At 45.4% G+C, this 27,581-nt stretch overlaps 1 protein-coding gene across 2 annotated transcripts, besides 2 other annotated features; it reads left to right on the top strand.

The window, feature by feature from the left end:
* Positions 4,400-4,694: an enhancer, noted in NCBI's record as "tiled region #4160; K562 Activating DNase matched - State 4:PromP". NCBI's record gives its function as "activates a minimal TATA promoter and a strong SV40 promoter by Sharpr-MPRA in K562 cells {active_cell/tissue: K562}" and the evidence as "EXISTENCE:reporter gene assay evidence [ECO:0000049][PMID:27701403]".
* PM20D1 (peptidase M20 domain containing 1) lies at positions 4,623-26,730 on the top strand. Of its 2 annotated transcripts, NM_152491.5 has the most exons (13): positions 4,623-4,851; positions 6,784-6,870; positions 9,198-9,430; positions 9,858-9,944; positions 10,538-10,668; positions 10,969-11,088; positions 12,004-12,079; positions 12,540-12,601; positions 12,866-12,944; positions 14,432-14,503; positions 21,989-22,157; positions 24,376-24,475; positions 26,012-26,730. In NM_152491.5, exons 1-13 carry the CDS (start codon positions 4,683-4,685, stop codon positions 26,133-26,135), a joined length of 1,509 nt encoding a protein of 502 aa, NP_689704.4. In that variant the 5' UTR covers positions 4,623-4,682; the 3' UTR covers positions 26,136-26,730. The 2 variants fall into 2 exon arrangements, 1 of the variants encoding a protein (NP_689704.4); NR_135186.2 differs by lacking the exon at positions 12,540-12,601.
* Positions 19,951-20,450: an enhancer, noted in NCBI's record as "H3K27ac hESC enhancer chr1:205803433-205803932 (GRCh37/hg19 assembly coordinates)". NCBI's record gives its function as "activates a minimal SCP1, AML or CMV promoter by ChIP-STARR-seq in primed H9 embryonic stem cells {active_cell/tissue: H9 hESC(primed)}" and the evidence as "EXISTENCE:reporter gene assay evidence [ECO:0000049][PMID:30033119]".
* Positions 26,731-27,581: the final 851 nt, after the last annotated feature.

The following is a 27,581-nucleotide window of genomic DNA, read 5'->3' as shown; positions in this document are numbered from 1 at the left end:
TTTCTTTTTTTTTTTTTTTTTTTTTTTTCCAGAGACAAGGTCTTGCTCTCTCACTTACGCTTGAGCACAGTGGCACATTCATAGCTTACTGCAGCCTTGAATTCCTGGAATCCAGCAACCCTCCCACCTCAGCCTCCTGTAACTAGGACTACAGGTGCTCGCCACCATGCATGGCTAATCCCAGAGCCATTTGTCCCAGGGTGTTAGAGAGGGGGCTGCTTGCTGCTCCTAGGCCACCTTCTCCCACCTCTGACAACTTTGGAGGGGTTGTTTTTAATTAGATTTAGGAAGGTAATCTCATCACTCTCCATGAGATTTTCATAAGGGGAGGGAGGAGTTCCAAGAATCCTTTTTTCCTCTGACCCATCCTTCCTCAGCTCTGTACTCAATGGGTGGTAGGGATGAGGGAAAAAGACTGATGTTATAGCTCAAAGTTGTTGACTGCCTAGAGGCCTAGAAATGTGTTAGTAATGAATCTGGGGTAGGCCTGAGTACGTGGAGTGTATATGTACCGGTGTGTTTGGGTGTGTAAGGAGGTAGGGGTGGGAGGAGCATGGAACATAGTTCTGGGCAGTTGCACAAGTAGAAGGAAATCCTAGTTCTACTTTTTGATGATTTAACATTTATTGAATGACACATATGTAGGGCAAAGTTTGAGAGAGTTTATACTCTAATGCAATGGCTGGATGAACTCTCAATCGTTGCCCTACATATGGTGGCTTAGTTTTTCCAAGAGCAAATCTACAGTCTCTACTCTGCCCATGGGAATTAGATTGTCCTCTGATCAGTCACAAAATAAACTTCTTTATCACTTTGTAAAAGAACTGTGTCTCCATTGCTATTTCTACCACCCACCCCTTGCCCCTGATTTGCAGCTGACCTTTATGAATGTATTTTCCGAACTCAGCCAGGGCTGTAGTATTGGACTTCTCAGAGCTAAAAGTCACTGTTGGAATCTGGATGGCACCTGTCAGAGTCAAATGGTCAGAGATGAAAGACTGAACATGAATTAATCATTTTTTTTTCTACAGTCCTCTGTGCACAAAAAGTTCTTTTGCCTTCATTATCGTATTGCAGAGGGCAAAACACTAATATGAGGTAGGCACTATTGTTTTCTCTAATTCGAAGATAAGGGAAAAAGCTTGAGTCCAGGAGTTCAAGAGCAGCCTGGGCAAAATAGTGAGACCCTATCTCTACAAAAATAATAATAAATTTAAAAATAATAAATACATAAAATAAAAAGTATCTTTTTAAAAATTTTTAAAGTTTGGTAGAGATTAAGCTATTTTTTACTAAAAATTCATATATATATATATATTTATGACCTTGGACTAGATTTGTTAAGATTTTTTAAGCAAGAAAACATCACTAATTATAAAAGAATATAATAATAAATTCAACTATATTATTAAGACTTCAACCCATCAAAAGGCCATTAAAAAAATAAAAACACAAGACACAAATGAAGAGAAATATTTATAATTTAAATAAAACTGACAAAATTTTAGACTCCACAATATATAGAAACCCTTAAAATTCAATAAGAAGACAGCTCTAAACAAAAATGGGCAATAGATATGAACAGTCATTTTACCAGAGAAACATGAATGGCAAATAAGCATATTTAAAGATGTTTAGGCCAGGCATGGTGGTTCAGCCTGTCATCTCAGCACTTTGGGAGACCAAGGCAGGAGGATCATTTGAGGCCAGGAGTTCAAGACCAGTCTGGGCAACATAGAGAGACACTGTCTCTATAAAAAAACTTCTAAAAATTAGCTGAAGGTGTTGGTGTTCACTTGCAATCTTAACTACTCAGAAGGCTGCGGCAAGAGGATTCTTTGAGCTCAGGAGTTGGAGGCTGCAGTGAGCTATACTTGTGCCACTGAACTCCAGCCTGGGTGACAGAGCAAGACCCTATGATAAATAAATAAATAAATAAATAAATAAAGCTTAAACTCTTTAACAAACTAGAGAGTACAAAATAATACCACAAGGAGATATTTTCCAGGCACTAAATGGGCAAAATGAAGATATTGGAAATGCCAATGCCAAGAGCTAGTGAGAAAGTGAAGCAACAGGAACTTATATACTATGCACTACCTTGCTGATTAGTATAAATTGTTCCAATCACTTTGGAAAATAATTCAGCCTTCTCTTGTAAAATAGAACATACAGTACAACACAGCATTTTCACTCCTAGATATATATTCCAGAGAATCTCTTTTACCTGTGGCCCAGGAGACATGTACAATAATGTCAATAGACTGTAGCAAGATATAACAGCATGCATAAATCCCACAAACAGTGTTGGGTAAAAAGAGCAAATTGCAGAAGACTACACACAACATGATGTCATTTTTATAAGATATACACACACACACACACTATACATATATGTATATCATACATATGTTGTAGAACTATTTAAAACACACAACACGGTCATACAATTACCTTGGGCAGGGAGTTGGAAAATAAAGGCAATAGAACACATGCACCTTCAATGCTACTGATAATTTTCCATGATTGGCTAGATCTGGGAACAGTGTGGGAATTAGACAGATTGCAAGAATTGGAGCAGTGACAGGAGAAAAAATGCAGTTTGACCAGTTAGGTCTAAACTCCAAATCACGGGTGTTCATGTTATTATTTACTTTACATACACGTTGTACGTACTCTTAATTATCAAATATTATGTGATAAGATAATTTAAAGAATATTTAAGGACCAGGAAGTGTTTATGACATAATGTTAAAGGAAAAAAAGCAGAACATAGAACTTTGGATGCAGTATATGCATCTGTTTCATTTTAAAACAGGGACATCCTTCATTTGTGGGTATTTGTGTGCAGAGAAAAAAGATTGGATAACATCAAAATATGATGAGTGAACGTCTCTGGATATTGGGATAGCATGTGATTTTTTTCTTTATACTTAATGTTCCAAATATTTCACAAGGGCATAAATATACATGAATTTTACAATCATAAAAATTGTGCTGGGTGTGGTGGCTCATTCCTGTAATACTAGCACTTTGGGAGGCTTAAATGGGAGGGTTGCTTGAGTCCAGGAGTTCAAGAGCAGCCTGGACAAAATAGTGAAACCCTATCTCTACAAAAATAATAATAATTTTAAAAAATAATAAATATATAAAATAAAAAGTCTCTTTTAAAAAAATTTTAAAGTTAGGTAGAGATTAAGCTACTTTTTACTAAAAATTATGTCAATGTTCATGTTTAAATTTCAACTCTATTTTTAACATTCTAAATCTTAAACTAGGTGGTGAATCCAGAAATGTTCATTATGTTATTTTTTATATCTTTATAATATGTGAAGTATTTCATGATACTGTTTTAAAGTTGCTATTAAAAAGTAACTAGGCAGGGTGTGGTGGCTCACGCCTGTAATCCCAGCACTTTGGGAGGTCGAGGTGGGCAGATCACCTGAGGTCGGGAGTTCGAGACCAGCCTGACCAACATGGAGAAACCCCATCTCTACTAAAAATACAAAATTAGCCAGGCATGGTGGTGCATGCCTGTAATCCCAGCTACTTGGGAGGCTGAGGCCAGAGAATTGCTTGAAACTGGGAGGCGGAGGTTGCGGTGAGCCGAGATCGCCCCATTGCACTCCAGCCTGGGCACCGAGAGAGAAAAAAAAAGAAAAGAAAAGAAAAGTAACTACATGGCTGAATTTTTTTTTTTAAGCAAATCTTAAATGAAATGCAAACACCAGGACTGTGAACCTGTAGCTTTGGTCACAGGTAGCAATATGGCCTTACTGGTTGTATAGCACTTACTGAATTTTTCTTGAGAATTCTAAAATTTGAGAGTGATGCCAGATAAAATTGCATCAAGAAATCTGAAAGGAACGATTTATTCTGGCTTCAGGAAATCTGATTTTATATTTCTGTGACATAAGACAGGTTTTCTTTTTTCCAGAATGATCCTCTACTCTGAATAACCATAAAATTTCACTTGTGGAATACATCAAAATTATTTATACATCAAAATTCTCTTAAATATTTTATAGTAATCTTTCTAAAAATCCTTCAGTCTTACTGTACTTGTCTAGAGTTGCAAAAATGTAGTGTTAACATTAATATTAAAAGCACTTTCAATGAAATTTCTAAACAGGAGCCAACCCTCTGAGCTGGTATTTCAAAGCAGTATCTATAAACAGAGCAATTTGTTCCAATTTCAGATGAAATCAAGCTGGGAACCTAGAGAGCTCCCCCGCCCCAGGATCTAGGGAATTGTAGTCAGGTTCTAAGCTTCGGAAAAAACGAGCAGCAGAGTATGGTCTGATAAGCTTCGTGCATTTTATTTTGCTTTTCCTCCTTTATTTGATTTGTTGTCATACAGGAAAGGATTTATGGGTGAGAGATCAAGTGCGGACCAGACATGACTCTAGCCTGGAGCCCGACCTCACCTCTGCTCTGCAGGAACTGCTGGCCTCAGCACGAAAACCCACAACCCTCGAAAGGCCTTAAGGATCCTGGGCGGGGTCATTCTGTCAATTGGTTGTTCCGCTGTCCTAGCGAAGCGATGATTGGTCAGATCTGGATATGGGGTGTGGCTAAGGCTGTTTGCCGGAATAAGAGCAGAGCTAGGGCCAAGAAACGCTAGTCTGGGCGTTTAGGTCAGAACTACCCCGGTAGCCTGACAGCAGGAGCTCGAGAGAAGCATGGCTCAGCGGTGCGTTTGCGTGCTGGCCCTGGTGGCTATGCTGCTCCTAGTTTTCCCTACCGTCTCCAGATCGATGGGCCCGAGGAGCGGGGAGCATCAAAGGGCGTCGCGAATCCCTTCTCAGTTCAGCAAAGAGGAACGCGTCGCGATGAAAGAGGCGCTGAAAGGTGAACCCGGGTCCCCTTCACCCACCTATGCTCATATGTGGGTCCCTCCCTCCCCAGGTCAACCCGTGACTCCCCGCTTCCGCCGCAAAGCATCTGCTACTGCAGCTGGAGCCCCGACACGCACCCCAGCCCGGCCCCAACACCCTTCCCAGCACATCGTGCCCCTGTCTGGGGACGCCACACTTCCCCCATACCTGGCTCCTGGAACTCTGGTGTGCCCTGCCTAACCTGGAAGCTCCAACTTCACCCCTCTTGGCGTGACCACCGTCCATTCTTTCCCCTGCTTGCCTCGAGTATTACACCAGCTTTCATTTGTACATCAATTTTAACCTTTGAAAGTTTGCATGCCTGATAAATTACTGCGGTGTCGTAAAATAAGACAAATGATATTAGTCTTATCTACAAAGGAGAGAAATTGAGGCTTAGGTCAGCTAAATGATCTTCCCCAGGGCCCCACAGCAAAGAGTGGGCAGTGGGTGACAGCATCTAGTGCCTGTCGGACTCGCTGGGATCAGATGGCTCTAAAGAAAGGGAGTGGAGTGTTCCCGGGGTGTGGGATGTTCCTAATTCTCAATCATAATTGAAGAACATGTCTCCTCTAGATCTCTAATCCAGACCAAAAATTCATCCCTGTTCTGAATCTGCATTTTCCAGGAAACAGGAAAGTTTCTGTTGAGTGCTAGATCCTATGGGATGAAATCCTTCTTTACCATTCAGCTTAGCTCCAGTCTTTTCCCTTTCATTAAGTAATGGATTAAGAGAGACTGCCTGCATAAACATATAGAAGCAGATGCAGGGACCAAAAGCTAACCCCAATAGTTGGATATAGATTGTTCATATGCTAGAGTGACAAGCCTGGGAGGCAGAGCAGGGCTTTCCCAAAGCATAAATAATTCTCTAAAAGGCATTAGACAGCCACTCACAGTCTGCACAGAAGAGAACAAAAGCTACATAAGCTAGAATAGGGACCTCATAGCAACACAGCTTGGAACTCTGAGCAGGGGACAGAACACCTGAGATCAGATCCTTGGGTCTGCCCTTGAGTAGGCACTTGAATCTTTCTGAACCTCGGCTTCCCCATCTATCTGGTGGGCTATGCTATTGTAGGGTTGATCCTTAGCAAAACTGATGAAGTTTGTCTTTCAGAGACCCTTCCTGCCTCAGGTGAATTTGTTTGCACTGTGTTCTTGGAGAGCAGTCTAATTCAATATTCTCATGATTCATGCTTTCCCTCCCAGTGGTTTTGTCTTTGATCATGGAACTCTTTAAAACTGTAAAGTCTTAAAGACTCAAAGGGATGAGCCCAGTGAAGGTTCAGGAACTGAGACAACTGAGTAAGGAGGGTGAGATTATTTTAGGACTGAGGAGTTTGTTTGGAGGCTTCTAAATCCACCCCTTCCCAGGCATTATATGCCCAAAAAGCTGGTCTTGGTTGACAGACTAGTGAGACTCTGCATAAGGAATAAGCCTTTACATACAAAAACACACAAGCCTCATTGATGTAGGGACCCAGGACAGTGGGTGCCTTGAGAATGATGAAGCTTGGATTCATCAAAGCAATTGGTGATTTCAGAGGTAGTGAGGCCTTAGGAAGCAATTTATAGTAGCTTCCCTTCAAGACCAGGATCCAAAAATCCACTTCCCTCCAATCTTAGACTGTATTTGCCTTTAAGAACCATATCAGCCTAAACAAACCCAGAAGACATAGGTTTAAATCTATAGTCTGCCTGTTGCTCAGACAGCTCACCTAACCTCTCCAAGCATTTTCCCTCATCTTCGAATTAGAGGAAACAATAGCGCCTACCTCACATTAGTGTTTTGCCCTCTGCAATATGATAATGAAGGCAAAAGAACTTTTTGTGCACAGAGGACTGTAGAAAAAAACAATGACTAATTCATTTTCAATCTTTCATCTCTATTTGACTCTGACAGGTGCCATCCAGATTCCAACAGTGACTTTTAGCTCTGAGAAGTCCAATACTACAGCCCTGGCTGAGTTCGGAAAATACATTCATAAAGGTCAGCTGCAAATCAGGGGCAAGGGGTGGGTGGTAGAAATAGCAATGGAGACACAGTTCTTTTACAAAGTGATAAAGAAGTTTATTTTGCGACTGATCAGAGGACAATCTAATTCCCATAGGCAGAGTAGAGACTGTAGATTTGCTCTTGGAAAAACTAAGCCACCATATGTAGGGCAAAGATTGAGAGTTCATCCAGCCATTGCATTAGAGTACAAACTCTCTCAAATTTTGCCCTACATGTGTGTCATTCAATAAATGTTAAATCATCAAAAAGTAGAACTAGGATTTCCTTCTACTTGTGCAACTGCCCAGAACTATGTTCCATGCTCCTCCCACCCCTACCTCCTTACACACCCAAACACACCGGTACATATACACTCCACGTACTCAGGCCTACCCCAGATTCATTACTAACACATTTCTAGGCCTCTAGGCAGTCAACAACTTTGAGCTATAACATCAGTCTTTTTCCCTCATCCCTACCACCCATTGAGTACAGAGCTGAGGAAGGATGGGTCAGAGGAAAAAAGGATTCTTGGAACTCCTCCCTCCCCTTATGAAAATCTCATGGAGAGTGATGAGATTACCTTCCTAAATCTAATTAAAAACAACCCCTCCAAAGTTGTCAGAGGTGGGAGAAGGTGGCCTAGGAGCAGCAAGCAGCCCCCTCTCTAACACCCTGGGACAAATGGCTCTGGGATTAGCCATGCATGGTGGCGAGCACCTGTAGTCCTAGTTACAGGAGGCTGAGGTGGGAGGGTTGCTGGATTCCAGGAATTCAAGGCTGCAGTAAGCTATGAATGTGCCACTGTGCTCGAGTGTAAGTGAGAGAGCAAGACCTTGTCTCTGAAAAAAAAAAAAAAAAAAAAAAAAAAAGAAAGGAAGGAAGGAAAAAACAAAAATGAGTGGCTCAGGGATTAATGCCCAGTAGCCAAGCTGAGGCCAGGCTGAAAAGGCTGCAAGTCTTTACTAAATAGGAGACAAACATAGGAAAGGAAATGTATAGTGACAGTAAACTGGATAAGCTAGGTGACAAGATAAAACCATAGTCTTCTTCGGTTTTCGGGTATCCACAGAAGTTTATGTGAATTCTTCCAAAAAACCCAGAGAGAGATAAAATTTATTTCTCCTATGTAGCTAAGGTCGCTTGAATAATTGACCCTAGGAACATCTACACCTGCACGCAGAAGTACGACCTTGTGCTAAACAGAATAATCTTTATGTTCACATAACACATACACTAGATGTGTGGCTTTTTAAAAAGAAAAATGTCTCTGAACTTTTTAATATAATATTTAAATATAATTTGGTTAATGAGGCCTACTAATTTAATATAATAATTTAATATAATTTGGTTAATGCGGCCTCCTATGGTCAAAATTTAATGCATCCCTCATCTGCATAGCCCTTTAACACGTACTTGTGATAGCATGTTATAGGTCTGACCAAGCCTGAGCTTGAGATATTGACCATCTTAATAGTGAGTCTTTTTTTTTTGAGTTGGAGTCTTGCTGTGTCAGCCAGGCTGGAGTGCAGTGGTGTGATCTCGGCTCACTGCAACCTCCACCTCCTGAGTTCAAGCAGTTCTCCTGCCTCAGCCTTCCAAGTTGCTGGGATTACAAGTACGTGCCACCACGCCCAGCTGTTTTTTGTATTTTTAGTAGAGACGGGGTTTCACCATGTGGGCCAGGCTGGTTTCGAACACCTGACCTCAAGTGATCTGCCCGCCTCAGCCTCCCAAAGTGCTGGGTTACAGGCATGAGCCACCACGCCTGGCCGAGTCTTTTTTTTTTTTTTTTGAGATGGAGTTTTGCTCTTGTCACCCACGCTGGAGTGCAATGGCGGAACCTCAGCTCACTGCAAACTCTGCCTCCCAGGTTCAAGCGATTCTCCTGTCTCAGCCTCCTGAGTAGCAGGGATTACAGGCATGAGCCACCACACCTCACTGATTTTTGTATTTTTAGTAGAGACAGGGTTTCGCCATGTTGGCCAGGCCGGTCTGGAACTCCTGACCTCAGGTGATCCACCTGCCTCGGCCTCCCAAAGTGCTGGGATTACAGGCATGAGCCCCCAAGCCTGGCCTTAATGGTGGCTCTTGATTTGCATTTATTACATAGTAATAGCACATTGAAATATGGGGAAGACGAATTTCAAAGATTGTCCAGGTAGATCAGGAATCAGACTAGCTTTGTCCTAGAAGGCTTCCTAAAGGAGGATGCATGTTTAAAAAAATAAATAAATAAAGGAACAGGAAGCACAACTTGGTAGGAAAACCTAAGGAAACTGTTAACCCTGGTTCTCTCTTCCTGCCCTTTTTGCTTCTAGTCTTTCCTACAGTGGTCAGCACCAGCTTTATCCAGCATGAAGTCGTGGAAGAGTATAGCCACCTGTTCACTATCCAAGGCTCGGACCCCAGCTTGCAGCCCTACCTGCTGATGGCTCACTTTGATGTGGTGCCTGCCCCTGAAGAAGGCTGGGAGGTGCCCCCATTCTCTGGGTTGGAGCGTGATGGCATCATCTATGGTCGGGGCACACTGGACGACAAGAACTCTGTGATGGTCTGAGATGCAATGTTCCCTCTGCCTTGGGGCCCTAAAGATCAATCAGGATGGGGGTGCTTGGCTGACCCTGGGAGGTGGGAGATAATGGTAAAAAGAATCTTGGCTCCAGGAGACCTGGGTTCCAGCCATCAGTTTGTCACTTCCCTTCTCTGGGCCTTGATTTCTCAGCTGTAAATGGGATTGAATGGTCCCCAGGGACCCTTTCAGTCCTGACACTGATATGTTTATGCTCTTCTCCAGGTGGTAAACGTTCTGTTTCTCCGCATCAGGTCCCCTGTACCATTTGAATCTGTTCTCTTTCAAGAGAATCTATCACATCCTCATCCCACCAGCCCTGATAACAGGCAACTGAATGTCTCTGATACCCTGGTATTCCCACCTAAATAACGTCTTTTTCCTCTTCCATTGTGCTTCTGAACCCCAGGCATTACTGCAGGCCTTGGAGCTCCTGCTGATCAGGAAGTACATCCCCCGAAGATCTTTCTTCATTTCTCTGGGCCATGATGAGGAGGTAGAGCCTCCTCACCTTATACCTATCTCTGTCCTCTGTTGAGGGTAGGGGAGTGGGTGCTTAACCCTAGTCCAGTTTGCCCACAGCAGCAAGGTCTCCATGATACGGTAGTTTGCCAACTTCTCCGTGTGTCTGTATGCCAGGACTATCTAAGGACCTTGACCAAAATTCAGATTCCTGGGCCCTGTGCCCTAGATCTGAATTTTTAACAAACTCCTTCATAATATCTGAGGCAGGCAGTGGGTCCATCACCTATACCCTAAGAAACATACGTGTGATGGAAAAAGAACTGAAAAGGGAGAGTGATGACTGCGTTTTATTTCCAATGATGCTACTTACTTAGACCCTGGGCAAGTCACTTCACTCTTTTGGCTCCAGTTTCTTCATTTGTGAAATAAGGGAGGGTGAGGCCTGCCAGCTCTGACATTCCAGAATTCTGTAAGGCAGGATTCTCTAGGGCCCTGGCTCCCAGGAAGGAGACTAGGTAGAAAGGTTCTGGAGCCCCTAGCTAGGCTGAATAGGTCCCCATTAGCTATGTCTGGAGGTCTGTCTCTGGCTGAGAAGGACTATAGCTCTATGTTCCATGTCTGCAGTCATCAGGGACAGGGGCTCAGAGGATCTCAGCCCTGCTACAGTCAAGGGGCGTCCAGCTAGCCTTCATTGTGGACGAGGGGGGCTTCATCTTGGATGATTTCATTCCTAACTTCAAGAAGCCCATCGCCTTGTGAGTAAAGCATCCCACCCCACACCTTGGAGGGAATTCTCACCCCATTTGAGATGACCCCAGCCTGGTATCTGTGAGCCATGCTGAGACAACTCTTTGTGTACACCTCTCGCATTAATCGCCCCAATCTTTAACCTCTCCTAGGCTTCCCCTTCCATTCTTCCTCCAGTATAAAATTTTTAAAGCAGCATGAAGCTACCTCCTTGCCCACTAGACTATTGCACAGATGGACCTATGGGCCTATGGGAGAATTCAGAGAGGCAAGAAGTCAGGAGAGTGGTTTCCGATCCTCTTCTACAGGATTGCAGTCTCAGAGAAGGGTTCCATGAACCTCATGCTGCAAGTAAACATGACTTCAGGCCACTCTTCAGCTCCTCCAAAGGAGACAAGCATTGGCATCCTTGCAGCTGCTGTCAGCCGGTAAGCAACTCCTGGCCCTGTTCCCATGCCAGACTTGAGATGGAAGCCCTGGCACTTTCCCACTTTAAATTTGAGGAGGCTAAGCTTCCTGCCCTAAAGTTGGGCTGGGAAACTATGCTATAAAAAATTGACACTAGAGGAAGAACAGAAGGGGAAGCCCAGGACAGACTAAAGATCCAGGTGATTAATACAACAGGTGTAAATAAAGAGTTATCTCAGCATGGCTCACAGATACCAGGCTGGGGTCATCTCAAATGGAGTGAGAATTCCTTCCAAGGTGGGGGTTGGGGGAGCCACAGGAGAGACAGAGCCACCAGTATCCTGCAAGGGCTGGAGTCAGAAGAGGATCTGTCAGTATATCCATATGGAAAGCAAGGACCTACAGGCAGAAGCTAGGTCAGGCAGCTAGAGTAGTCCAGAGTCCAGACATTTAGAATCACAAATTGGCAATGACTGGTAGAGCTGTCGAAATTCTCCACCTGTCCTGGCAGGAGGACAAAAATAAATAAGAGTTGCTGGCTATGAATGAGGACAGCAGAATCTGTAACAGCAGAGCTTACTCCTGGCTGGGTTTTCTTAGCAAAGTGGGAAGGAGTGCTATATTCATTCAAATTGTCAGGAGACTGACAATTCTGCTGTAGTATGGGATGGGCTATGAGAGTGGACACACAGGATTCTAGAGAACAGCAGAGGGAGGAAAGAAGGACCCTAATGCAGACTTGGTAGACAGGGAAAGCTCCTGGGGATGTTTTGAGATCTTCAGAATGTTGAGTTGGTGGAGGTGGGAGGGAGGTGAATGAGAGACCTCTTGGCCAGGAGCGTTGAAACTTCCTCCTATCTCCCTTCTTCTCCTCTTCAAGCCACTGATCTTTGGCTGGGGTTCGCTAAGTCTTGAGGACTCTGTTTCTCTTCCAGATTGGAGCAGACACCAATGCCTATCATATTTGGAAGCGGGACAGTGGTGACTGTATTGCAGCAACTGGCAAATGAGGTATGGGAAGAAGTATCACATACTCCTAATCAGCTAGGAACAAAAGACGGACAGAAAAGTAACCTTTAGAGTAAGAAAAGGACCCTAGTACTGTCCAGCACTCTGCCTATTCTCACCTATTCCCAGCCAGTGGCTGAGCCAAGACACAGGGATCTGGCTTGTTCTCTACGGCTGTTAGTGTGTTTCTGAGACCCTAAGACCTAATCTACCCTTTGGGAGCTGGTTCCCACTTATCCTTGAGGTTGCTAAGCAATTGTTCTAACCAACCAGATAAGCCCAGCCAGACAGTAATTGCCTCCCTATTCCTGATCCTCTAGCAGGGATTGAGCTAACTGAATTTAGCAGCACTCCTGACTGCTAAGGGCCCCTGAGGCAGCTCTAAAGTAGAGAGAGACTCAGGTCTCAGAGACCCAGGCTAAACTAGAGGTGACCCTGTGGTGCTGACCTTGTTCTTTCCCAGTTTCCCTTCCCTGTCAATATAATCCTGAGCAACCCATGGCTATTTGAACCACTTATAAGCAGGTAAAGTATTATCTTTCCTTTTTTCACATCCCTCACCTCAAACCTACCCACCCCCCAGGCCCCTCTCCTTGGCTTAACTGGGCCTGACTAATCATCCCTCAGCCACCAGATACTGCATCTCTAAGTGTGTATATTTAAGACATCTCTAAGACGTCTCTCTCAGTCTTAAAGATCCCCAAGGTTCAGGAAAGTGGGTAATGTTTCCGCCCTTTCCTTCACCCCATTGGTTCTTTCTAACATCTGACCTTGGTCCTTTTGTTTTAGGTTTATGGAGAGAAATCCCTTAACCAATGCAATAATCAGGACCACCACGGCACTCACCATATTCAAAGCAGGGGTCAAGGTAACATCCCTGGTTCCTCCCCATATAGCTTTTCCCTACCGCCCTCCACTCCTCCCTTCCTTGAATCTATCTACTGGCTCTTCCTTCCTTCTGTGTGTGTCAGCTGGATCCAAGCCTAGCCACGCAAAGACATAGGCCTTTCTGAAATCTTGAAGGGAGTTAGACCATTCTTGTAACTGCCAGTACCACCAGCACAACTTCAGGGGGCACCATTCACCTAGAGTACAATGTGACCTTGAAGCACTCTAGTAATCGGGTATATAAGTGAATGATGCCTCTGAATTAATTCCTGGCATAACTCACTGGACCGTCCAGTGTGTCAGCTGTAGTGTTCATCAGAATAATAGCACTGTGTCCTGACATTTGAATGGTGTTTTCATCTCCCCAGGATACTTTGTTACTCCATCTGAGCCTTCTAAGAGTCCTATGAGTATTGCCCCAATACCCAGTTGAGAAAACAGAGGCACAAAGAGGTTGCAACAGCTAATTTGCAACAGCCCAGCTCTGTCCCTGACCACTTAGTGCTTTTTTGCACCATACGAGTTCAAAGAAAGATATGCACTTGGGGAGTCTCCCGGCCTCCAAGGAACAATCCCTCCATAGCCTAACTCTTTTCTCCAGTTAGTCCTGGATTCCTCCTGGTCAGGCAAAAAAGTCAGATTTTACAACTGGACCTGGGAAACCACCAATCCCTGCTAGAAGGTCGGGAATGGGGAGGCAATTACTGCCTGACTGGCTTATCTGATTGGTTAGAACAATTGCTCAGCAGCCTCAAGGATAAGAGGGAACCAGCTCCCAAAGGTTATGTTAGGTCTTAGGGTCTCAGAAACATACTAACAGCCCTAGAGAACAAGCCAGATCCCTCTGTCTTGGCTCAGTCACTGGCTGGGAATAGGTGAGAACAGGCAGAGCACTGGCCAGCACTAGGGTCCTTTTCTTACTCTGAAGGTTACTTTTCTGTCACTCTTTTGTTCCTGCCTGACCAGGAATATGTGAGGAGTATGTGTTCTTCTCATCCCCCTCAAGGATCAAACCTGATGTGAGCCCCGTGCTATGCCATGATGGGGGTCAACAGAGGCTCTGGCTGCCCCATCGTGAGTAAGCACTAATGTTAACAGCTGCAGAAATGTCCTGGGTGTGCTGGGAAAGAAAGTGCACACAGAAGGCTTCTAATAGCACAGCATGGGGCCAAAACAGAGATATCTGGGTGATCAGAGAAAGCAGCCTTGCTCTGAACATCTCTGTGACCCCCTGCAGCACCAAGAAGCAGGAAGGTCTGGCTTAAAGCAGAGACACCCCTTCAGCTCTGAATATAACATGTCACTTAGTTCAGAGAAGACAAGAGGCAGACTAGAAAAGCTAAGCCTTGGGTCCTTAAGTCAAATCAGCCAACTCTGCCTGAGCTGAGGAAATTAGCATTTCCTGGGCAGGCAGATGTAGAAGATTTGAGGTTGACTCAAGCCAGGGTTTTGTGCTTCTCTCTCTAGTTCAATGTCATCCCCCCAGTGGCCCAGGCCACAGTCAACTTCCGGATTCACCCTGGACAGACAGTCCAAGAGGTATGTACCATATGTTCCAGACAACAACTCATGCAGCATCAGGGAGATGTGGCCCTCAGGGCCCGGGTTTAACTACAGTCCTAGGGCTGGTCCAGTGTCCCATTTATTCAACCAACATTTTTCAAAGACAACCTATGCACCGGATACTTCATTAGGATTGGAGATCCTGGGTTTGGGTAAACATGGGGTCTGAAATGGAAGATGAGTATGAATAAATGATAGCAATACCTATAGTAACAAACATTATATATAACATTATATATATGTAGTAGTGTAGTAGGCTTGCTGTGTATTTGGCACCTTTCTTCCTTTCTTTTTTTTTTTTTTTTTTTTTTTTTTTTGAGTCAGAGTCTTGCTCTGTCGCCCAGGCTGGAGTGCAGTGGCACGATCTTGGCTCACTACAACCTCCGCCTCCCGGGTTCAAGCGATTCTCCTGCCTCAGATTCCCAAGTAGCTGGGACTATAGGCACGTGCCACTATGCCCGGCTAATTTTTAGTATTTTCAGTATTTTGTATTTTTTGTATTTTTTGTACTTTGTATTTTTGTAATTTTTTGTATTTTGTATTTTTAGTAGAGACGGTGTTTCACCGTGTTAGCCAGAGTGGTCTTGATCTCCTGACCTTGTGAGCCACCCGCCTCGGCCTTCCAAAGGGTTGGGATTACAGACATGAGCCACCACACCCAGCCATATTTGGCACCTTTCTAAGGTATACCCATACATTTTAATCCTCACAACTACCCACCCTAAATCTGCATTTAACTGGTGAAAATTGAGGTACAGAGTACCAGAGCAATCAAACAGCATACCCAAGATTATATATCTAGCAGTCTAGTTCCAGAGTTTGTGCTTTTAGCCACAACCCTAAACTATGATTATAAAAATTAGAGGTGAACAAATTGCCATAGGACCACTGCAAAGAAAGAAATTCATGCTACTTCTTAGGGTCAAAAAAGTCTTTTCTGACTACTAAAATGTTGAACTGGGCCTTAGAGGAAAAACAGAACTTGGCTAGAAGTAAGACATTCATTGTGGCTTAACGAATAGAATAAACTGGGGACAAGTAATAGGAGATGAAAACTGATAGGAAATGGAGTTGTAGTTTAGGGATCTAGGCCTTGTATGCTATGCTGAGGAGTTTGGGCCCTAATCTGTGAAATCTGTGGCAGGAGAGAACTTTTAGAGGTCTTCAACCAAATACTCAGATTTGCTTTTAGAGAGGTCATGCTAGCAGCATTGCAGAGGGAGTGCTGGAAGAGAAGGAGACAGAGAGCTATTTCAGCATCTTAGGTAGTGCATGTGAAGGTCTGGACTGAGGCCATGCTCGTGGGGTGGAGAAGAGAGCAACCACCAGAGGTGGGAGAGAGGTGGGTTCAATAGGATGTGGTATGTATATGGGTATGGAGCGAGAGAAAAGCAGGATGGCTCCAAGGTTTTTAACCTGGGTAGTTGACCAAGTAGTTAATGCCTTTGACTAAGATTGGGAATTCAGAAATTAAAACAAGTTCAAGAATATCATAATTTGGAAGTTTGAGAAGCTTATAACATATGAAATAGGCAATTATAAATACCTCAGGTCTGGAGAGAGATATGAACTAGAGATATAGGCTGGAGTGTCATTAACATCATGGGAACCTCTAGATTCAATAAAAGCCCATGGGAAGAAGGTGCAGAGAGCTAGGAGAGAAAAGAGTTGAGGCCAGAGCCTTGCAATGGTCTGCTACAAACATCAGTTTAAAAATGAATGTATAATTGCAAACCACGATGAGTGCTATAATGAAGAGGAACCTGGTGCTTGTTAGAGAATATAACAAGGAACCAGACCCCATCTGGGAATCAGGCAGGGCTTCCTAAGGCAGTAATGTTTAAGCTGAAAGCTGAAGGGTGAGTAGAAGTTACACAGAATGTCTGACATCCACAGTAAATGCCAGCTTATTTAAACATCAGGCTGAGCTAAAAGGAATTCAAAAGGTAAACCCAATGCTTCAAAAACAAAAAAAAGATCCAAAAAGACAACCCAGTGACTATCAGATGAGTAATACATTCCAGAATATACCAGGGTTAGGGGCAGTTCTGTGCCACAGATCATCAAGGGTCAGTGGCACTTGGACTTCTATGGTCCTTTCTCCTAAGTTCTTCCCCAGAGAGGACTTTAATTGTCCTCATGCAAGGAGAGAGGCACACTCCTCATTGTAGAGCGGGGAGAAGGTTGACATCCTGCCCAGAGCCACCCAGCATTGAGGGGGTTGGGGGAGTGGGGGGTAGTTAGGACCAATGTGAGCCCTGGGTTCTCCTGCCTTTCATCAGGTGCCAACCTTTGTCCTCTCCCTGGGGTCTCATGGGGCCAGGAAATCACTGAATTCCCCTCATTGAGCTTCTTTCCACTAGTTTTTTTCCAGCCTCATTCCAACTCCATGCCCTTTCCAAGGGCTGTTTTCCACCCAGCTGGGGCTTTCATCTCCCCAGGTCCTGGCACTCTTCCCTCCTCTCTACTCCCTTGCCACAGTGACCTTCCTTCCGGTCTCTCTGATGAAACCCCTGGAATCCCTAGGTCCATCCTGCCCACGTGCCGCAGTGAGGAATGGAAAGCCTCCATATTCAGAAAGCTTGTGGGCGCATTTGTCCTGGTTACTCCTCTCCCTCCAGCCCCAGTTCCATGCGTCAGGAACACTCCCTGCTGCACTCCCTGTGCACAGAGCCTCGGGCTGGATCCAGCAGGAACACAGGCCGCCCCCAGAGTTCTCTTGCTCCATATTCAACTTCAGTTGTAGATAGGTCTCCAGCACCTATCTGTGAGGAACAGAACCTTCAGAAATCCAAGAGGCTGCCATGTGGAAAGGAAGGTGTGTCCTGAATGGGCCTGAAGGAGTAGAGAGAAGGCCAGTGGGAGATGTTTGAGGGAGTCTCCACTTGAGGGAGAGTTTTGGAATGTGCTATCTTGGACAATGATTGTGCTCCTCATCACTAAAAGGGCTCAATAAGAGTGTTGTAGAGAAGATTCTTTCCTTTCTTCCTTCATTTATTCATTCAAGTGTCTATTGGTAGCTACTGTGGACTAGACATTCTTCTAAGCATTTGGGAGAATGGTGAACAAGACAGACAAGATTCCCATTCTAATGGTGTTTACATTCTAGCGAAGAGACAGCAGTAAGCAAGGAAATTTTTTTTAAGTGGTAAATACCACAAAGAAAGTAATAGGATGCTGTGTCACAGAGTAATTGTGGGGCAGAAGTACAGCAGTGAGGTCCTTTAAATGTGATGGTCACTGAAGCCCTCTCTGAGGAGGAGCAAAGACCTGGCAATAGCATCCAGGCAGCAAGAGCACAAAGTGGGAAGCAGTACAGATGCCCTCTAATTTTGACAGGTAAGATTCTGCTGAGTGTTTATGATGCGTCTAGTACTATATTACATCCTGTGGAGTATATTCATTGTCAAAAAAAGGAGAGGCAGGGCCAGGCATAGTGGCTCATACCTATAATCCCAGTGCTTTGGGAGGCTGAGGCCAGAGGATTGCTTGAGGCCAGGAGTTCAAGACCAGCCTGGACAACACAGTGAGACCCTATCTCTACAAATAAAAATAAATATTAAGCAGGCACACTCCTATACTCCCAGCTACTCACAGGAGGCTGAGGCAGGAGGATCTCTTGATCCCAGAAGTTGGAAGTTACAGTGAGCTATGATCACACCACTGCACTCCAGCCTGGGTGACAGAGCAAGACACTGTCTCAAAAAAGGAGAGGGATTAGATATTACGGGACACCATATCTGAGTTATAAGCAAGATATTTATAACTGAACTACTCAAAAATGGAATGGTATATAGCATGCAGTGACGAGCTTTCTGCCACTGGAAATATTGCAGCAGATGGGATGACAACCTGTCTTGAGTTTTCTGATGAGCAGCCTTACAGCAGGACAGAAGCTGGACTTGCTAACTCTAAAGACCTTACCTGTTTTTAAGTATCCATTGTCCTTGCCTTCAACAGCTGTACCGTTCACTTAGAGGAAAATATCTCTACACATAAAACAGAGAACAACATAAGGTTGTGAGAATGCACTGAAAGAACTACAGGAGATCTGGGCCCAGTGCAGTGGCTCACGCCTGTAATCCCAGCACTTTGGGAGGCCAAGCTGGGCAGATCACAAGGTCAGGAGTTCAAGACCAGGCTGACCAACATGGTGAAACCCCGTCTCCACTAAAAATACAAAAATTAGCTGGGCATGGTGGTGGGCACCTGTAATCCCAGCTACTCAGGAGGCTGAGGCAGGAGAATCACTCGAACCCAGGAGGCAGAGGTTGCAGTGAGCCAAGATCACACCATTGCACTCCAGTCTGGGTGACAGAGCGAGACTCCGTCTCAAAAAAAAAAAGAACAGGAGATCAGAGAAATGAGAGATTCGTGTGCTCTAAAGTCACCTTTGAGGTCTCTCACCATTGACAAGTCTCTCCTCCTAGTTCCATTCTTGTACCTCCGATTCTTGCCCAAGGTGGTCCCTCTATTCTAAATAAGCAAATAACAGCTAGCATTTTTTGAGTGCTTACCATGTGCCAGGCACTGCCCTACGCACATTACACCTTTTTTTTTTTTTTTTTTTTTTTTTGAGTCGGAGTCTTGCTCTGTCACCCAGGCTGGAGTGCAGTGGCACGATCTTGGCCCACTGCAAGCTCCGCCTCCCGGGTTCATGCCATTCTCCTGCCTCAGCCTCCCGAGCAGCCGGGACTCCAGGCGCCCGCCACCACGCCCAGCTAATTTTTTGTATTTTTAGTAGAGACGGGGTTTCACTGTGTTAGCCAGGATGGTCTCGATCTCCTGACCTCAGCACATTACACATATTAACTCCAGTAATGGTCACCACCACTTATGAGGTAGGTGCTACCATCATCTACATGTTAACAGATAGGCAGGCTGAGGCACAGAGAGGTTAAGAAGCTTGTCCAAGGTCATACAACTGTGAGTGACTGAGGCACAAAGTTGGTTGTCACATCTCAATTTTTGTGCCTGCCCTTCTCCATGCTCAGACGATCTGTTACCTTGTCTCTGTCAGTTTCATATCCTTCCTTGAAACTTGGGCTAAACATTCATACCACTAAGGAGTCCATCTCAGATGAACACCTCCTCTCAGGTTATACTCCACACCACCTCTAACTGTACGTACTTAGGAAGCAGTAAAGCATTATTCCTGTAAAGTCAGACAGATACCCGACCTGACAATACTGACTGTATAACCCATGGCAAGTTATTTAATGAATCAACACCTATTCTTATTTTTATTGGTTCACATCTTTTAAATTTTATGTATCCAAGATTTATTGCATGACTTTTATGTGCTTGCTACTGGAAATGCGGAAATGAGATAGACACAGTCCCTGCCCTTGAGTCAGACACAGTCCCTGCCTGGCCCAGCAGCTAGTGGGAAACCTGAGCTCCTGCAGCCTCTTACTGAAGGGATCCATTCTGCATGCCTTCTTCGATTTCTGGAGGGACTTCTAAGGAATTTGGGGCAGTGGGCACAGTCCCAACCCACCTCATGGAGGCTGACTTCAGAAACTTGCCAATGGGCTGAGAATATGTCAAGACCGTGCATTAATTCTTGTATTAGGATATTTGTATTATAAGTGCTAGAGTGAAAATATGCTCTGAGAAGTGAGAATACACTTTGATGACCCCTTTGCCCATCCAATAGCAGGATATTTGTTTTGATTCAAATGGTGGTTTCTAAGCCAGAAGTGGGAACCTTCACTTCCTCTCCAGACTCAACTCCTAACATTCTTCTGGCATAAAAGAGGTACTCTTGGGGCCGGGCACGGTGGCTCACGCCTGTAGTCCTAGCACTTTGGGAGGGCAAGGCAGACAGATCACCTGAGGTCAAGAGTTTCAAGACTAGCCTAGCCAACATGGCAAAACCCCGTCTCTACTAAAAATACAAAAATTAGCCACACATGGTGGTGCATGCCTGTAGTCCCAGCTACTTGGGAGGCTAAGGCAGGAGAATTGCTTGAATCCAGGAGGCAGAGATCGCAGTGAGCCGAGATGGTGCCACTGCACTCCAGCCTGGGCGACACAGCGAGATTCTGTCTCAAAAAAAAAAAAAAAAAGGTACTCTTGGCCAGGCATGATGGCTCACACCTGTAATCCCAACAGTTTGGGAGGCCAAGGCGGGCAGATCACTTGAGGTCAGGAGTTTGAGACCAGCCTGACCAACATGGTGAAACCCAGTCTCTACTAAAAATACAAAAATTAGTCAGGCATAGTGGTGCATGCCTGTAATCCCAGCTACTCGGGAGGCTGAGGCAGGAGAATTGCTTGAACCTGGGAGGCAGAGGTTGCAGTAAGCCGAGATCGCACCACTGCACTCCAGCCTGGGCGACAGAGTGAGATTCTGTCTCAAAAAAAAAAAAAGAGGTACTCTTAAGATAATGACCCCCATTCAGGTGATCTGCAGCTATGGGACAACCCCCCCTTTCTAGAGCAGAGGCAGTTTTAAAGCAACTACTGAACAAATGGGTTGGGACTAGTGCTGGAGCTTTGGAGAGCAAGGGTCCCTCTAAGCCAGTCTCCTGGTCCATTCCCACGTGGCTCTATGTGACCTAATCCTCAGGGTCTGGTCTACTTCCTGACTGCAGCCAGGAATTTTTCTGGATTCACTCTAGTCGTTTCAGACAGAATTTTCTAGGAGTTTCCTTAGGTTCTTTCCCAAGGAAACGAAGCAAAGAGAGAAAACTTGAATACAAGTATCATAACTTCTGACTTTTTGTCTGTGTTGAGCTCATCTTCCTGGCTCCAGTGCAGCTGGTTACAAACAGGAAGCAGAAATGCCCAGAGAGGGGGAAAAAAGTGTGTGACCCTTTTATTACCTGTCTGAGGTTCTCCGAGGCTGAAGCCAGGTCATCACATCTATTCCCCAGCCTCGAGATGATTGACATTCTGCTGTGTCTTCGACACTTTCATCCAGCCTGTGGCTCACCACCCAAGGGGAAAGATACATAACTTCCTGATTTTCCAATTCCCATCCAACTTTCCATCGAAGGGATATCTCACCAATGCCCTTGGAAGGAGATTCCATGTTCCTGGCTGAAATGGTGCTTTTCGTAAGAATAGCTATAGGCTTTCAAGAGAGCCCAGGCATTGCTCTGTAGTGACCCAGTAGTCAATTTTCCAGCCAGGCCATCCCCTTGCCACTTCGTTGGTTTGATTGCTCATGTAAATTTGTTCCAATTCAAGATCTGATTCATGACTGTAAGACAAGTCTCCCAAAACATTTAACCTAAATCTATCATGCTGTAGGTTGCTTTCCAGGAAGACCCAGCTCTTACATCACCTATAGCCAGTCAGCTGAAATTGAAGTCCCAGTGCTTAAAAAAAATAAGTCCTGTCTGTAAACCCTGAGGCTCTGCCTTGCTGGAAAGAAATCAGGATATTTAAGCCCATATTGTACATGTATAGAAATCAATAAGAAATCGAACCCCCTTTGTTTCTACCCTGGAGGTCCTAGAACTCACGAAGAACATTGTGGCTGATAACAGAGTCCAGTTCCATGTGTTGAGTGCCTTTGACCCCCTCCCCGTCAGCCCTTCTGATGACAAGGCCTTGGGCTACCAGCTGCTCCGCCAGACCGTACAGTCCGTCTTCCCGGAAGTCAATATTACTGCCCCAGGTAATGACTTCATCAGCTGTGGCTGGAGGGAGGAGGGGGCTGGAACTGTTTCCTATCCAATGTCTACTTCCCCACCCCCACCCTAGATGTTCAGCCTGTAAACAGCTGGCTGCTTCCCCTCCTGATGAGACTAGAACTGTATTTTCCCTTCAGAGTGGAAGTGAGAACGCAAACAGGAAAGGAACAGAAATAATAAATTAGGTCAGTCAAGCCTGGGTCCTTGCTTAACCTAGGCCAGCCACTCTGGCATAGAGGGGAGAATTGGCTTAGACTACTCCCTCCTCTCTAGGAGCCACAGAAGGGGCCAAGATCTTCCCAGAGTCTGGTTCTGATCCATTCTAGGATAACAGCTCAGCAGGAGAGCTCAGAATCCTCAGCTCAGAAAAGCCTCCCAGCCCATACCATTTGCCTTAACCTAATTTACGTTTCCCAGCCCAGACCAATCCCAGCAGCACCCCTCTGTTCCCCTTCTGCAGCCTTCTAGCACCCCATCCAAATCTGTGCTTTGCAGACAGTGGTTCTCCAATCTAAGAGTGGAATAGGTCTCCCCAGTGAACTATTAAAATGCAGATTACCTGGACCCACTACAAAGATTTGGGTTAACCAAATCTGGAAGGGACCCTGGAATTTGCCTTTTTCACAAATACCCCCAGGAGATTCTGACACAAGGTGATGACTAACTATAGTTTGAGAATCTCTGGTCAATGGTTATTGCTCTAATATTAAGACATTGCTCAGCCGGGCACGGTGGCTCACACCTGTAATCCCAGCACTTTGGGAGGCAGAGGCGGGTGGATCATGAGGTCAGGAGTTCAAGACCAGCCTGACCAATATGGTGAAACCTCGTCTCTACTAAAAATACAAAAATTAGCTGGGCGTGGTAGCTCACGCCTGTAGTCCCAGCTACTCGGGAGGATGAGGCAGGAGAATCGCTTGAACCCAGGAGGCAGAGGTTGCAGTAAGCCGAGACAGCCCCACTGCAGTCCAGCCTGGGTGACAGAGCAAGACTCTGTCAAAAAAAAAAAAAAAAAGGAGAGAGACGTTGCTCAATAATAATGATATTGCTCAATTATTAATGCTCTAATATTAAGGCCTGTGTCTAGTTTTCTTTTCTCTTGGTTTAATCAGAGATTCCTCCAAACATCCAGGAACCCGGCCCTCACAATCCCAGATTCTCCTCTCTTGGCCCTCAAAGGCTACCTACTCTATTCTCTTTCTTCTGGAGCACTTACTGTAATCCACCAATGGGGCCAGGCTTTTGCAGAAAAAAGATAGGCAGCAATCAACCACAAAGCAAGGAACTTGAAGGGCCTGGATGTCCATTTGAAACCAGGAGTGGAAGATGGAACAAAACACAAATTACCATCTCAAATCACCGCACACACTTGAATTGATCCTCCAGGGTGTCTTTTCCCAAAGAACACACCTATGGGCACAAGTCCCAGCCTCTGCTAGGTGACCTGCTACCACCTTCAGGAGAGTGGGAAACTGGAAAGAGAGTATCCTGGCACTTTCCAGACCTAAGGTTTGACTCTAGGAAGACTTCAGAGGATGAGAATAACAGGAAATTTTGTTCCAATTCAAGACGGTGATATTTTATAGTAGTAAAGTTCTCCCAGAGGGTATTTATTTCTGACCTAGAGTGATACAGAATAAAGGTCAGGTGATAAAGAAGTGCTATCTAGATTCTGGTTTCTTAAATAGCAAATGGCCATGGCCTTGGGTATGAAATGAAGATACTGGCCACCCTGGGCGTCATGGGGAACAGCAAACAGCCATGGCCTTGGGTATGAAATGAAGATACTGGCCACCCTGGGCGTCATGGGGAACAGCAAACGGCCATGGCCTTGGGTATGAAATGAAGATACTGGCCACCCTGGGCGTCATGGGGAATAGCAAATGGCCATGGCCTTGGGTATGAAATGAAGATATTGGCCTCCCTGGTCGTCATGGGGAGAGGACACTTCCAAGGGCATTGGTGAGACATCCCTTGAATGGTCCATCCAAGGGATGTCTCACCAATGCCCTTGGAAGGAGATTCCATGTTCCTGGCTGAAATGGTGCTTTTTGTAAGGATAGCTATACGCTTTCAGGAGAGCCCAGGCATTGCTCTGTAGTGATCCAGTAGTCCTGATTTTCCAGCCAGGCCACACCCCAGCCACTTCGCTGGTTTGATTGCTCATGTAAAGCCCCTTTCCTGTTGATCTTCCCTCTCTAGTTACTTCTATTGGCAACACAGACAGCCGATTCTTTACAAACCTCACCACTGGCATCTACAGGTTCTACCCCATCTACATACAGCCTGAAGACTTCAAACGGTGAGTGGAACAGGTTTGAGCAGCAGGTGGGAGAAAAGAAATACACTTGATGTGTCCTTTTCCTACCCCATGCTCCTGGCAGTCCACAGAATCAGGGGGAAAGCCAGGATTTGGCAAAATGAAATGGAGACATTGTAGAACCTAACCCATCTACTGTCCTTATTGCCAGAGTCTCATTGTCACCCCCTAGAATTTATGGAAATTGGCCCCTCTTTTACAAAGATGGAGATAATTGGGTGATTGGGGAGAACCTGGTGGAATCGGTACCCTTGGGTGCTAATCCCAGCTCTTCCTCTCTTTGGGAGAGGGCTTATCCTCTGGACCCCGTTTTCTCCACTTACAAAATGGGGAGACTCCTCAGCATTTTCTGAAATGCAGACACATATGAGGTCAAAGGTGGATGCGTGTTTTGACTTCTCAGAAGAAAGCACTATGGAAATCCAAGATGTGAGCACCAATTTTAACTGCTCTGTGTGAATTACTATTTTTGTGGGTTCTTCAGCACATTTTCAATCCTGGGGTTTGGGAGGATGATTTCCATTTACCTCTCTGCTACTTATCACGTCCAGACTTGATTTCCCCATCCTAAATCCTCTGTAGACAGAGTGAAAATATTTGAATAGGAGCTTAAGAACAGCTTTCATGTTTTTGTTTTTTAAATGGGAGATGGGTAGGTACTCTGTTTCCTTTCATCTTTGAGATTACATATGTAGTTTGGTTGTTGTTTGTTTTGTTTTGCTCTGTTTTGTTTCACTGTGGGGAGGCAGGTTGGTGGATGTGAGGTCTGATAGTAAAGTTTCTAGGTGCCACAGAAAACTGGGTAGGCACCCTGGGCAGTTGCCTTCCCTACCCTCTCTTAGCCCTAGTAAGTGGGACAGTAGGAGACTGGCTTAGAGATAGTCTAGCTAGGCATTCTGTCCTAAGAGAAAGACAATTGGAAAGATAGTTCTTGGCCAAGTGTGGTGACTCACACCTATAATCCCAATACTTTGGGAGGCTGAGGCAGGAGGCTCACTTGAGCCCAGAAGTTTGAGACCAGCCTGGGCAACATAATGAGACTCCATCTCTTCAAAAAAAAATTTAAAAATAAAAAACTTAGCCACACACCTGGGGTCCCAGCAACTCAGGAGCTGAGGTGGGAGGATCACTGAAACCCAGAAGGTTGAGGCTGCAGTGAGCTGTGATTGTACCACTGCAGTCTAGCCTGGGCTACAGAGTGAGAACCTATCTCAAGAAAAAAGATAATTCTCCCGGAGGACAAATTATTGAATGGATTTCAGAGCAGGAGATTATTTTGGACTCCCCAGGAGTTTATTCCACACTGTTCTTTGTCACGAGCATAGATGGATCCCTGAGAAACGACCAATGTGCATCCGAAATCTCAGATGGCCCCTCCCTTGCCCCTCTCTTTCCTAGCCCTGGAGGGCCAGTAGTTTCCGGGTTGGTGAGGGAAGTAAGGGAAGTGCTCTGTGATAACACTTGTGCTGTGGCACTTGGCCCTCCCCTCCTTCCCTAAATGCACCTTACTTTCCTCAGCATCCATGGAGTCAACGAGAAAATCTCAGTCCAAGCCTATGAGACCCAAGTGAAATTCATCTTTGAGTTGATTCAGAATGCTGACACAGACCAGGAGCCAGTTTCTCACCTGCACAAACTGTGAGGTCAAGGGGCCTGCTGGGTTAGGCATGCCCGACCCCGGGACAGGACTAACCCAAGGGGGAAAGCTAGTGTTGATGAAACTTTTGATCAAAACCACATTGTAAAACATTGCCCATCTGTCTTGCTCACTCTTAAACTCTCCCAAGAACAAGGCCGGGGTAAGGTAAAGTCAGCAGAAATCTGGCTTCTCCCTTCCTCCCGACATCTGCATCCCTTGATCCACTGGCATTTGCTGCCCTCTTGTCCCTTATCTGTCTTATGCTGGTTATTTCACTGCTTCACCTTCCAGGCTTGACTTAACAAATGTAGATTTGAGAAATCTCAACCAGTTGTTACCTGATAGGAGTCTTTAATTTAGGGCACTCTTGCTGGGATGCTTTCTCCAGAGCTTATATATTTCTTCTTACTAGAACTTTCTTCCCCCTTTTATTCCCCTCTCTTCTTGGACTCATGAGCTGTCTCTTCATCTCTCCTCTCTCTCCTGCATCTCTCCCCTTACTCTTCAATTTATTCTACTTCTGGACCTGGACTTACCCAAACTGTGATACTACCATAATTGTCACCATAATCAGTCAAATAAAGTGATCTGTGCATCACCAGCTGGTCACTGAGAGGTGAAACTGAGGCAGGGGCTTTGGAGGAACCCCAAACCTCCTGGTTCTGGAGGCCAGAGACTGGAAAAGAAAGCCTCTGTCCTTGGGCTCCTCCCAAGGGCTCCCTGGGCTTTGTTCCCTCCCTGCCCTGTTCCTGACACCTGCTGCTACTGTCTCACCACAGGAGGCACTAATCTGTGGAAACATTTCCCTGGCACATCTGATGGGCTGAGCTCCCAAGGGAAGGGCTCTCGGAGCTCAGGACCAGCAGGTCCATGGCCCTGGCATCATGTCCTGGTTCAGGCAGATCAAGGGAAAGTGGAGGAGGAGGGGGAGGCTGGCTTGAGGGGCTCTGCCCTGTCTGGTGGGGTATGAGGAGGACAAACCAGCCTCCACTGGGGACAGCAGAATTCCTGTCTTTTTTCTCTGGGCTCCAACCCTGAGCATATTTGAATCTGCTCAGTAGCTGCCAGGTGGGGGGCACTGGAAGGCAGCATTTCTTGGCTCAAAGCTGGAAGCTGTGCTTTGTGGATCACAAGAGAGTCTGGATCACGAAGGAAGACGCAGCAGGAGCTGGGACTCGAGAGACACCCTCTTCTTCTCCTCACCAGGCAAGGACCTTCCATGTCCTCCTGGGCTTTGACAGCAGTGGGCTCCTTTTCCCTCTCCTCCTAACCCCCTTCCCCCTCAAGTCCCCAGTTTCTCACCTCCCTCCCTGGATGTGTACTGTTTCTTGGAGCTCGGGCTTCATGAAAAGTGTTGGAAACACAGTGTGGGGATTATTCCAGCTTTTTTGCTACTCCCCCTAAGATTCACATTCCTTCCTTTGCCCTCCCTTTTTTGGCCAATTCAGT

The sequence above is a fragment of the Homo sapiens genome, chromosome 1, assembly GCF_000001405.40.
Source record: "Homo sapiens chromosome 1, GRCh38.p14 Primary Assembly".
Lineage (NCBI taxonomy): Eukaryota > Metazoa > Chordata > Mammalia > Primates > Hominidae > Homo > Homo sapiens.
This window is presented reverse-complemented; position numbering and strand designations above follow the sequence as displayed.